The sequence below is a fragment of the Homo sapiens genome, chromosome 11 (assembly GCF_000001405.40).
Source record: "Homo sapiens chromosome 11, GRCh38.p14 Primary Assembly".
NCBI lineage: Eukaryota > Metazoa > Chordata > Mammalia > Primates > Hominidae > Homo > Homo sapiens.
Genome location: NC_000011.10, coordinates 70,905,041 through 70,917,438, shown reverse-complemented (window position 1 = coordinate 70,917,438; position 12,398 = coordinate 70,905,041). Strand labels below are relative to the sequence as shown.

General features: G+C 48.2%; 1 protein-coding gene across 20 annotated transcripts in view, besides 2 other annotated features; it reads left to right on the top strand.

The window, feature by feature from the left end:
• Positions 1-12,398, top strand: part of SHANK2 (SH3 and multiple ankyrin repeat domains 2) — a 785,381-nt gene that overhangs the window by 335,796 nt on the left and 437,187 nt on the right. Inside the window, exon 1 of one of the 20 annotated variants that reach the window (XM_047426622.1) lies at positions 5,464-5,482. The exons of the other annotated variants lie outside the window; for them this stretch is intronic. The gene's annotated coding sequence lies outside the window, so the exon portion shown is untranslated. Of the gene's footprint in view, positions 1-5,463; positions 5,483-12,398 lie in introns of those variants that run through there. 20 annotated transcript variants of the gene reach the window in all.
• Positions 10,688-11,187: an enhancer, noted in NCBI's record as "H3K4me1 hESC enhancer chr11:70752357-70752856 (GRCh37/hg19 assembly coordinates)". NCBI's record gives its function as "activates a minimal SCP1, AML or CMV promoter by ChIP-STARR-seq in primed H9 embryonic stem cells {active_cell/tissue: H9 hESC(primed)}" and the evidence as "EXISTENCE:reporter gene assay evidence [ECO:0000049][PMID:30033119]".
• Positions 11,188-11,689: an enhancer, noted in NCBI's record as "H3K4me1 hESC enhancer chr11:70751855-70752356 (GRCh37/hg19 assembly coordinates)". NCBI's record gives its function as "activates a minimal SCP1, AML or CMV promoter by ChIP-STARR-seq in primed H9 embryonic stem cells {active_cell/tissue: H9 hESC(primed)}" and the evidence as "EXISTENCE:reporter gene assay evidence [ECO:0000049][PMID:30033119]".

Genomic DNA, 12,398 nt, shown 5'->3' with positions numbered 1-12,398 from the left:
CTTTCACAATGGCTGAACTAATTTACACTCCCACCAACGGTGTAAAAGAGTTCCTTTTTCTCCTCACCAGCATCTGTTGTCTTTTGACTTTTTAATAATAGCCATTCTGACTGGCATGAGATGGTATCTTATTCTGGTTTTGATTTTCATTTCTCTAATGATCAGTGATGTTGAGCTTTTTTTCATATGATTATTAGCTGCATGTATGTCTTCTTTTGAAAAGTGTCTGCTGATGTCCTTTGCCCACTTTTCAAGGGAGTTGTTTGTTTTTTTCTTGCATCCTTAACTTCCTGTGATGTTTGGAGTAGGCTGGGATGTTCAGCTGACATCGGGGCCAAGACCTGACTTGCTGTCTTCCTTCGAAGCAGCTCACTGCCCTGCTGCGTAGTGGCTTCTCTTGGTCGCTTTCCCTCTCCTCATGCTGACTTTTCATTTTCTGTGTCCTAATAAAAATTAAGCAAAGCATCCAAAAGCAATGGTTTCCTAACCTCCCTCCATACCCTCCCCACATGCACCTGGTGCTTAAGGTCGCAGGTACCGTGGAGATTGAGAAATGATACATTTGCTTATCATAGGAGGACATTTGTACATTAAGACACCAGAGCCTGCTGGGGTTCAGTTTCTTCTTGGACTCCATGTGCTCCTGGCTTCCCTTTCCCCAGGCTGCTTGGATACCTGCAAGCTTTCAGGATAGAGACCCTGGAGTCACATTAGCATTTTGCAAGCCTCTCTTCAGACAGCAGGAAGATGCTGAATGCTGTGCCAGGCGAAGGGAGGGCGAGGGGGCTTCTTGCCATTTAACTGACACAGGTGGATAATTAGGTCATCATCCTCTTGCCGGTGAATCATGCTCCATTAGAATTCTGGAAATAATTCCTGAAGCTTGCTGTGCTACTGTGTGAAAGGGTGGCGGGGCAGCTGTGTGTGTGTGTACACGCACACACATACACATGAGTGACTGATGCTAGGATTTAGCTTTTCTGCTGTCTGCCAGCCTCGCATTTCAGAAGTGCCAAGAGCTTTCTGTACCTCTGTCCACTGTGTGGCCATGTGATGGCCAGCCGGGTTGGCGAGGGGTACTGTTCTATGCTGCCTCCCACTCTGCTGCAACTAGGCCATTTCCATGTCCCCCAACCTTTCCCCCAGACAGTGCCCGTGAGTATTAAACTCAGCATGAACTGTTACACGGGGCATGGGGCTCGACTTATCTGAACTCTACCCTCTCCCAAGAGGCAAGGGACGGCCAAGAATGTCCTTTATCCCTCAGGATTCACAGGTAGACACATTGCCCGGTTTAGAATGGCTTTGGGCAAACCACTGAAAGAAGGTGGTAATTGCCCTTCATTCTTCTCTAATTCTTTTCTGCAGAAAATATGTAGGCCTCCCTAGACATGTCTGGCTCCCAAAAACAAGAGCAAGGTGATGTGAATCGGGGAAGAGCACAACAAGGTGGAGGGTGTAGTGTCCAGAAACCCATGTCTGTGTCTGCTGACAGCCAGGCCTGCGCTCTGAAATAAATGGAGGTCAGGGAACACACACAGTGTTTAGAATGAGAAAAAAATGATGTTGTGCCTGAGTGTCATAAGTCAAGTCATCCAGAAGTCTTTAAAGCATGGCCTTGATTTTATGACTGAGCAACGCATCTTTCTCCTTGGCAAGCTTAAGCAAGCCTCAAGGGAGTCCCCTTTCTCATAGCCACAGCCCCTCCATCATCCCGTCCGTCCCGCGAGGCAGGCAGCCCTTTTGTGGGGTGGGCTCCTGTGAATTCTCTTATGCCTGTTGCCTTTAACTCCCTCCTGGACCTTGCAGCCATGCTCTCGGTATTCTCAGGAGTTTGAGCACAGTTGAGGGCATGATGTCACTCGGGTGGGCTCGGCGGCCAGACCTGCTGATCTGATTCACTGAGTCCCATGTTAGCCATGGGAGTGGTTAGGCACTCCTGGGATGGCACCGTCCCTTCCCATACTTGGATGCAACTGATGCTGAAACTCTGCTGAACAAATGCCTGATAGCTATTCTTGGATTATTGTCTCTCATTATCTGTCCACAGATGGCACCATGAATCATAACTGAAAGAATTAAAATGTTAGGCGCCAGCGTGTAGTTGCTAGGGGATTTTTTTGGGGGTGTGTGTACAGTCTGCTAACATGTGCTGGCGGATTTGGGAACAGCAGCCCTGCACATTTGAGATGAGATTCCCAGTGGCAGCAAAGTGTCTCCGAGGGCCCAACGTCTGTGTTTAAAGAAGGCATCCGTATTTTTGAGGGATCATATTGGGAGCTGAGGATGAACGTGTCCCGCAAGCCAGCAGTACCCAGAAATCATCTGGAAAGTCATTGCCAGCCAATAGCTGTCGGCTTCACCCACAGATCACATTACTAAGATTAGGGAAAGGAAGCTGAGATGCAGCTTGTGGAGAGGAAAGTGCATTTCCAAAGTGAATGGTGTTGTAGCCTACAAGATTCCTGCTGTTTCCAGTTAAATACTTTAACAACTGAATTTTCTTCCTTTTTTTTTTCTTTCTTTCTTTTTTTTTTTTTTAAGACAGAGTCTCGCTTTGTCAACAGACTGGAGTGCAGTGGTGCGATTATAGCTCACTGCAGCCTCAAATTCTCAAATTCCTAGGCTCAAGGGATCCTCCCTTCGCAGTCTCCTGAATAGCTGGGGTTACAGGTGTGCGCTACCACGCTGGGCTAATTTTACTTTGTTTTGTTTTGTTTTATTTTATTTTATTTTATTTTATTTTATTTTATTTTATTTTATTTTATTTATTTTTTTTGTAGAGGTAGGGTTCTTGCTTAAGACCTTGCCCAGGCCGGTCTTACACTCCTGGCTTCAAGTGATCCTCCCATCTTGGCCTCCCAAAGCACTGGGATTGCAGGTGTGAGCTACCGTGCCCAACCCTCCTCTTCATATACTCAGCCTCTTGTGTGTGTTTGCAAGGGCGTTGTGTTTTTGAAAGGCCTTTCTGTGCGAGGCTGGGTTTTTAAGCTTCTCTCTGTATTCCCGGGAAGGCCCCAGCATGGACAGGTGGGAGGTGTGGTGTGATGACCTTTTTCTAGCCCCTGGTTTGAGGGGATGCCAGAAAAGCCTGGGTATTGCTCATGCTCTCCTGGTGCCAGGTGGATTCTACCTGAGAGGAAGACCGAGAGGGTCGGGGGAGGGACTCTGTGTCTCAGCGGAACCCCATTGCACACTTGTTCCTGTGGCTCTGTATGAGCCCCAGAGCCCGATTTCCGGAAACAGGCTGTCCAATGCAGCTGAGCAGGGTGTGCCTTCTCAGGGCCCTGTAACAAGATGCTGCAGTGGCAGTGTGGCTGGGCGGGGCCCTGCACCTGCTTTGAGGGCCCGACAACTCCTTACAGAAATCCCCCACCGCCGCCCTGTTCTCTGCTTGCCGCCCCAGTGTAAATATGCTAAATCCAAAAGTGGATTAATTGAAAAGCAATAAACACTCACAGCACTGCTCTAACGAGAACACCCTGATGCCAGCTGCTTTCCCTAATGAAGTGTGGCAGCATTACCTGAACAATGAGATGATTGTGTGGTTAAACGTGAGTGTTGTTTTCCAAATGGAAATGAAAAGACCGGCTCTGATTGAACCAGAAGCACAGAGAGCCTGGCCATCCGGCAATGACACCATGTAGGGTCCTAATGCCTGCTGCTCCTCGTCTCTGGAGAGGATGCCTTTTTAGGGTATGTTTCCGCATGAAGTCTGGGGCAGGGTTTAGAGCCAACGTCTAAACTCAGAATCTTCTCTTTTAGCCCCCAGATCCCAAAGTGGGAACTCTGAGGCCTTAGCTTATATTTTTAGTGGTTTTTAAATTATTTGCAAGGATCTTAAAAACAACATTGAGGAAAACCATCCCTGGTTCTTTGCTGTTTCTTTCCCTCTTGGTCTCCCTCCCTTCTCCTTTCTCTGTTTGCTTCTTTCTCCTGAACTTTTACCTGCCAGTTACAAGGAACTTAATAATGATCTTTAGAATTTTCCTAATACAGTAAATGCCTTTTGATTTTTTTTTGTTCCCGGAGGAATTGAAATGCAATTTTATGTTATTTAATTGTGTTGAATTTAATTCTCATACCTCCCATCCATTTTAGCACATAGAGCCCCCTGGGTATTCCATATGGTCCCTGAAGGGTCCAAGTTGTCATAATAGGGTCTATCATTTAGGACAAATGAAGGAAAAGAAGGAAAACAAATCTCTTTATATAATAAGTTTCTTCTTTCTCACTGGGATTAATTATAAATTGAATGCCTTTTTTTCTAAACGACATGACCTAACCTGAATTTATTTATAAACATACCAGGAGGCTGTGAGAGGATGGGAGGGTAGGTTTTTTTTTTTTTTTTAATTTCCTTTTCTTTGCTGGAGAAGTGGAGGGGAAAGGAAATGAATGAGGAACTGGCTTAGAATCTGTAGTTCAGTTCCCTGAGACTGTAAATTGATAAGTCCAGAGAACTGAAGGAAATAAGACAGTTTTCCCGGGAGATCTTTTTGTGGTCAATTTTTGTTCCTGTCTCAGAAATTGTTCCCCGATGTGACACATGATAGTGACTTTAATGAAATTGTTAATTTGGATTTCTGTAGAAGCTGACCAAATAAAACCCCGTGTAAACACCTGTATTAGTTCATTTTCACACTGCTGATAGACATACCCAAAACTGGAAACAAAAAGAGGTTTAAGTGGTTTTGAAGGAAGTCTGGGGGTGAGTGCCGATCTTCTGAGTGTGACGTTTCTTGCAGGAGCGCCCCCTTCATTTCTGCAAATGCTGAGGTGTTTAGAGATGTATCATCGTGGTGCACGATGCATCATCATGGTTTAGCATGTGGACTTACAGTTCCACACGGCTGGGGAGGCCTCAGAATCATGGCAGGAGGCAAACGGCACTTCTTACATGGTGACAGTAAGAGAAAAAATGAGGAAGAAGCAAAAGCAGAAACCCCTGGTAAACCTATGAGATCTCCTGAGACTTATTCACTATCACAAGAATAGCATGGGAAAGACCGGCCCCCGTGATTCAATTACCTCTCCCCGGGTCCCTCCCACAACATGTAGGAATTCTGGGAGATACAATTCAAGTTGAGATTTGGATGGGAACACAGCCAAACCATATCAACACCCAACTAGTCCAATTTTAAAAAATGTAGTTGATACCCCATAAGCATGATTTTAGCTTATATAATTTGTTAAACTTCCTTCACATCATTGAATGAAGTAAAATATTTTCTGCTTGCATAAGGTCACGTGGTAAGTGTCACCACCACCACCTTCATAAGCTGACTTCTCTTCTCTTCTCTTTTCTTTCTTTCTTTCTTTCTTTTTTTTTTTTTTTTTTTTTTTTTTTTTTTTTTTTGACAGAGTCTCACTCTGTTGCCCAGGCTGGAGTGCAGTGGTCCAATCTCAGCTCTCTGCAACCTCTGCCTCCCAGGTTCAAGCAATTCTCCTGCCTCAGCCTCCCAAGTAGCTGGGATTACAGGTGCCTGCCACCATGCCCAGCTGATTTTTGTATTTTTAGTAGAGACGGGATTTTACCATGTTGGCCAGGCTGGTCTCAAACTCCTGACCTCAGGTGATCCTCCCACCTCTGCCTCCCAAAGTGCAGGGATTACAGGTGTGAGCCACCACGCCTGGCCACTGACCAGTTCTACCACCATTCTCACTCTTGTCATTTTGGGGTAGGAGATGATGTTCCTGAGCAAACAACAATAGCCATGAGTTGTACTCCCTGGCCCATAGAAGCTGCAGGTGCACTCACAGCTTCTGTGAGGCTGATGTCTCCAGTTCTTGGCCTGAGTCCTGGAATCACTGCCTTTTTCCACCCTCTGGGAAAACGGATAATTAATTTTATTCTAATGATAGCAATGGTGAGGTTGCAAAAAAGGAGAAGTTGGGGGGCAAATAAAGTTTAAAACCACCTACTTCACACACACACAAATAGCCAAAATTAAGAAGATGGACAGTGCCAAGTGTTGTCTGTGAGAATGTGGAGTAACTAGGGCATGGAATGCTAACCCCCTGCTCTGAGAAGGCAGGTTTTGTTTTTTGTTTTTTTGTTTTTTTGTTTTTTTGTTTTTTTTGAGATGGAGTCTCACTATGTTGCCCAGGCTGGAGTGCAGTGGCGTGATCTTGGCTCACTGCAACCTCCACCTTCTGGGTTCAAGCCAGGGCAACAGAGCAAGACTCCATCTCAAAAACAAAACAAAACAAAAAGAACAACAACAACAAAAAAACTCATCCAACTCTGTGCTTAAGGCCTGTGTGTTTCGTGGCATGTACTTTTAGCTGAATTAAAACAGTACAAAAAATTAGGGGAAAGAGGCATGTGGAGACCTGTGCCTGTGGAGTGATTTTGGAGGAAGTCTGGGGGTGAATGCCGATCTTCTGAGTGTGACATTACTTACAGGAGCACCCCCTTCGTTTCTGCAAATGCTGAGGTGTTTAGAGAGGGATGCATCATCATGGCTTAGCAAAAATCGAATTATGTGCACATGTGCCCCCAGCATGTGCACATGCACGCGCACACACACACACACGCACCACCAAGCAACATGTAAACAATTGTGTTATCCAGTTTGGCAGTGTATTGATTTTCATCACTCTATTCTTTCAACTTTTTTTTTTTTTTTGAGATGGAGTCTCACTCTATTGCCCAGGCTGGAGTGCAGTTGTGCGATCTCAGCTCACTGCAACCTCTGCCTCCCGGGTTCAAGTGATTTTGCTTCCTCAGCCTCCCAAGAGGCTGGGATTACAGGTGTCCACCACCATGCCCGGCTAATTTTGTATTTTTAGTAGAGATAGGATTTTGCCACTTTGGCCAGGCTGGTCTCGAACTCCTGACCTCAAGTCATCTGTCCACCTCAGCCTCTCAGTGTGCTGGGATTACAGGTGTGAGCCACCACACCCAGCCTATTCTTTCAACTTTTTCGGTGGGTGTGACACTTTTCATAACCGAATCATGGGGATGGGAGAGGCAGTGATTGCTTCTGCTCCTGTGTGTCCATCTGTGACAATCGAGTGTGCGGTAGCCTCTTCCCACCCTCTGCTCCCTGAAAACAGACCACGTGAGGGGAGAGATTCTCAAGCCTTGTGCAGGCCTCAGACACCTCTGACCTGGGTGTTTGCGGGGGACCCTAGGTGTCCCTGAGGAAGGCAAAGAGATTCTGCGTACTCTTGTGCTAAGCAAGTTGTTCTGGGTTGAGTGGTGTCCCCCTAAATTCCTGCATTGAAGCCCTAATCCTCAGTACCTCTGAATGTGACTGTAGTTGGAGATGGGACCTTTGAAGAGGTAATTAAGTTAAATTGAGGTCACTAGGCTGGGCCCTAATCTGATATGACCAGTGTCCCTATAGGAAGAGGAGATGAGGACACAGACACACAGAGAGGGACCACGGTGTGAGGACACAGAGAGAAGGCGGCCCAGTGCAAGCCAAGGAGACAGGCCTCAGGAGGACCTAGCCCTGCGATGCCTTGATCTCAGACTCCAGCCTCCAGGACAGTGAAATGATAAGTGTCTGTGGCTTAAGCAGCCCGGTCTGTGGTGCTTAGTGATGGCAGCCTGATCAAACTCATACGCAAGCGTACCCCGTTGTCAGCCATGATTTCTTTCTTTGGTTACTGTCCTGCAGAAAATGGTGTTCAATTCTTGCTTTGGAACCAAATCTCGTTGCTAATCTCCCTCTTGCCTTTTTTAAGCAGGGAGGCTGTGCCTGGGCTGCTGTGCAAGAGAACTTTCTGTAGTTAGAGCCACACAAAGCCATGTGTGTAATGCCTGCCTTCTCCTAGGCTTTGGAATCGAATGGACAGGGCCTTCCTTTATGCAATGAAGAAATCTCACTCATTTGAGCTCTCGAAACCTGTTGTCTGATGTGCAGAACAAGGATCACGACAGCTCTACTTCCTCAAGGCATGCCGTGAGGGTGGAATTTAGAGACTGTATTTAGATGCTGGGCTGCGTGTCGTGTTGGGTAAACATGGGTAGTTATCATTATGATCAGCTTGATCACTCTCCTCATCATTACAGCACAGGAAAGCCAGCCTAGCAACATCTGTAATCCCCAGAAATCTCCTCTTCTCACTAGACTCAGCCTCCCTCATTCTGTGCCGTGAGTCTAGGGTTCCTGGAGGCCAAGTAGAAAAGTCTAACTGCCCTGTGGGCTCACGCCTTTCTAGCCCCAGGGTCCCACCAGAGTCACTCTTGAAAATCATTCCTCTGCAAACATCAAAGAACTGTTGCTTTTCTATCAAGATTTCTGGGAGCAAATGATGTCCTTCAATGCCATTGCTATTTCAAAGGAAAAATTTACATTTTATTGGCAAATCCTTCTGGGAGAGGGAGGTTGCATTTGGTCCACATGAAAGAATTATTTCCCATTCTTTTGTGTGTTTGTTAAACTTACACGCTGATGTTTTTCGAGGTTTTTATTCCCTTGACTGCCATACGTATTTCACAGGACAGAGGATAATACTGCCCAGAAGGTCTCTTCTACCCTAAGAGGGGTAAGGGGATGTGGCCTCCTCCAAGGAGGTGGCCAGTTTTTCCCCTGGCTGACGTTTCAACATCTTGGCTGGAAACTGAACGACTAAATGGAGGTAGATCAGTTGGGTCGCGGTTTGACGTTGATGTTGATTAGGTCAGAAACTTTCAAACGCTGAAAGTGGTTTTCCTCCTCATATATGATCCCCCACCGCCAACCCCTGGTTCAGCATTTCCCTTGTAATTACAGTCACCTTGGTGCTGAACCCCAGCATCCCTGGGAGGTAACTTGCCAATGTCGGTGCAGCTCTGGAGGCCTGGTCCGAATCCCAGGTTGCTGTGCAGCCTTCGGAGCTTCTGCTCGATCCCAGGACCAAAAGGACAAGGTCAACCAGAAGGTCACCCAGAACACCTGCAGATCCCCATGACCATGTCTGAGCTGCAGTCATGGCAAAATCGCAGAATGAAACTGTGGCAGGAAGAAAAGTGCAGCCACTCCCATGCACAGGCGGAGTCTGTTTCCCTCCTTGGCAGCTTGACATGCTGTCTATGTGGAGCACTGTCCTGAGGACACCGTGTAAGGAAGCCAGCCTGGTCTGCTGGGGGATGGGAGGATGCATGGAAGAAAACAGATGTGTTCCAGCCAACAGCGAGGCCCATGTGAGGCCATCCTGCGTGTGCCAGCCAGGCTGACCCTCCACTTAAACGCAGTCACGTGAGGGAGTCCAGAGTGGCAGTCCTCAGACCCATGCAGCCCTTAGTTTTAGGGTGGTCTCTTAAGCAACAATCTGTTTCACTGCTGCACTAGCAGGCAAAGTTCACTTTTCTTCCCAGTTTATTAAGATTTTTTTTTTCTTTTTTTTTGAGATGGACTCTCACTCTGTTGCGCAGAGTGCAATGGCACGATCCCGGCTCACTGCAACCTCCACTTCCCGGGTTCAAGCGATTCTCCTGCCTCAGCCTCCCAAGTAGCTGGGATTACAGGTTCGTGCCACCATGCCTGGCTAGTTTTTGTATTTTTGGTGGAGATGGGTTTTGCTATGTTGGCCAGACTGGTCTCGAACTCTTGACCTTAAGTGATCTGCCTGCCTCTACCTCCGAAATTGTTGGGATTACAGGCATGAGCCTTCATGTCTGACCCAGTCTATTAAGTTTTATCATGAATCTATGTTGTCATATCCGATGTGTCTTGATAAAATATTTATCCAAAATCCGATCCTGCAACTGTCAAAGATGATTATGTAGATTTCCCCTGCTTATCTGCTAATGCGATGAATTATATTTGTCAATTTTCTTATTTCTAAAATAAACTCACCTAGCCATGATATCATCTCCTTAATATATGGATCTCTGCATTCAATTTGGTGATACTGAATGGCGCTATTTTAAGTCATTTGCCAATTATTATTTGCTAATTAACTATTTTAATTCTCATGATAGTCATAGAAGAATCATACTTTTATTCTTATTCTCAGTTTCAGGAGCCTGAGAAGGGGGGAGGTTGTCTTTGGTATCGGTGCTAGAAGGCTCCCTCTGGGGCTGTCCAACGTCCAAGCCTGTGGTCCTGACCACCGCACAGTGCTACCTGAGTGAAATCTGGCCACAACCCAGGGGGTCCCCTTCACTCAGCCATGGGAGGGGTGCTGAGGGCTGGACCTGCTCCACCTTCTGTGGGACTGAGGGGCTGTTTCATCCCCAGCCTCTGGGGATACTGGCAGACGAGACCCAGGCAAGTCTTACTCAAATGCTCAGGGTCTTCCTCTAACCTGGGAGGCTCACTGGGTCACCCAGCATGGAACTGCTCCTACAATAGCTTCCCAGTCCCCAGCTGCTTCCTCTGGCCGGGGGTCCTGGCCCACGACTCCCCTGAGCCGGCACTTCAGGAGTTGTGGACATTGCTTGAGTCAGCCCTGGCTCTATCTGGTCAGCCCTGTCAAGTTAGATGTAAAGTCCCGGAGCAACCAGGGGCTTCTGGGTAATACACATCGATTTGCAAAGGCCCTGGCCCTGCATGGGGTTTTCGCAAAGCCCCAGGGAGCTGTTCTGGAACGACATAGGCCTCAACTGCCTCTCCAGATTCTGGGTTTTAGCCTGGGGATGGGCAGAGATTCCCTTGAAGTTTGCAGGGGAACTCGGCGACCCCTGACCTTGGTGAGCCAGGAGCCCAGGCCCACTCCCTGCCGTGCTTGGAGGATGCCTGTAATTAAAACATTCTTACCAGGCCCTGGGGTCTTTGGGCATCAGTGGCTTCCTGAGTTGCCACAGGAGTCTGAAATAAATGAAGCACCATTATCTGGAAGGAAACAAAGACGGGGACATCCCAAGTGCTCGGTTTCTCTCGTGCCTTTCCGAGAAGCCATTTTCCAGTTATGGCGAGGGGGTGTCAGGATCACAGAGCCGCCTCTAAATAGCTCTCTGTGTCGGGAGGCACATTTCGTTTTGGCAAGAGAAGGAGGCTTCGTCGGGGCGGTGGAGTGGCTTTCCTCCGAGTTCTGGCTGTGGATCCCAGGAGCTTGTTGAGCAAGTGATGAGGAGAGAGGTGGCCTCCACCCTCGCCTGGGCTCTACCTCTTGGCGTCAGGGAACAGGTCACACTGTGGGCACTGCAGCAAGTCCACAGCCTCTCCAGGGCCCTGGCCACCTGAGAGCCACACTCAAAGGCGACAGTCCCGCTCCATGGCGCCCTCACCACTGTGAAGAGCATTCGCATGTGCTGCCCATGTCCCAGCCCTGAGCAGGAAGGCAGGGCTTTGTGGCACCTTGTCGGAGCCTGGGGCTGGCCTGGGTGACAGGTGCAACAGGCTGGGCGCTGTCTTTGTCTGTTCAGGCTGTCACATCACAAAATACCATAAAATGAGCTGGGTGCAATCCTGTGATCCCAGCACTTTGGGAGGCCTAGGCCGGCAGATCACTTGAGGTCAGGAGTTTGAGATCAGCCTGGCCAGCATGGTGAAACCCTGTCTCTACTAAAAATACAAAAAATTAGCCGGGCATGGTGGCATGTGCCTGTAATCCCAGCTACATAGGAGGCTGAGGCAGGAGAATCGCTTGAACCCAGGAGGCAGAGGCTGCAGTGACTGGAGATCGTGCCACTGCACTCAAGCCTGGGCGACAAGAGCGAAACTCCGTCTCAAAAAAAAAAAAAAAAAAAAAAAAACATAAACTGGGTGGTGGCTTATAAACAATAGGCATGGATCTGTTATAGCTCCAGAGGCTGTGAGTTCAAGATCAAGGGCCAGCAGATGGGCTGTCTGATGAGGGCCCACTTCCTGGATGGTGGTCTTCTTGCTGTGTCCTCACATGGCGGAAGGGGTGAGGCTCTCTCTGCAGCCTCTTTTCCAAGGGCACTAATCTCATTTATGAGGGCTCCACCCTCATGACCTCATTACCTCCCAAAGGCCCCAGCTCCTAACACCCTCACACTGGGGCTTCCATTTCAACACATGAATTCGGAGGGGGCCTCAAATATCCAGACCATGGCAGAAATCCGCACGGCCACTGGGCTCAGGGAGAGTCATTTCGTCATTCAGAATGCAGGCTTACATGAAGCAGGAAGAGCATCACAGCAGGCCAAGTTCAGTGCTAGGTGGTATAGGATGCGGCACTTTGTGGTGTTCAGTGAAGGGTGTGCGGGTGGGCGTCTTGAGCCCAGGGAGGTATTTTGCACACAGTGCTGGAGCTGTCTAGGGAGCTGTCTTGAAAGGGGTTGCCTGATATAATAGGAGCAGTGGAATTCAGATCCTCAGAGAACTGTGGCGAGGACCAACCAGACAGCCCCAGGTCCTCCTCACCTGCCTGTCTGGCTGGCTCATTTCCCACCATCAAGCCTGTCCAGGTACTGAGTCCCTGTGGGGCTGTCCTTGCTCCTGGCACCACCCCACTCCACCTTCCACCATCCTGAGACCATGCCATGCCTAAGA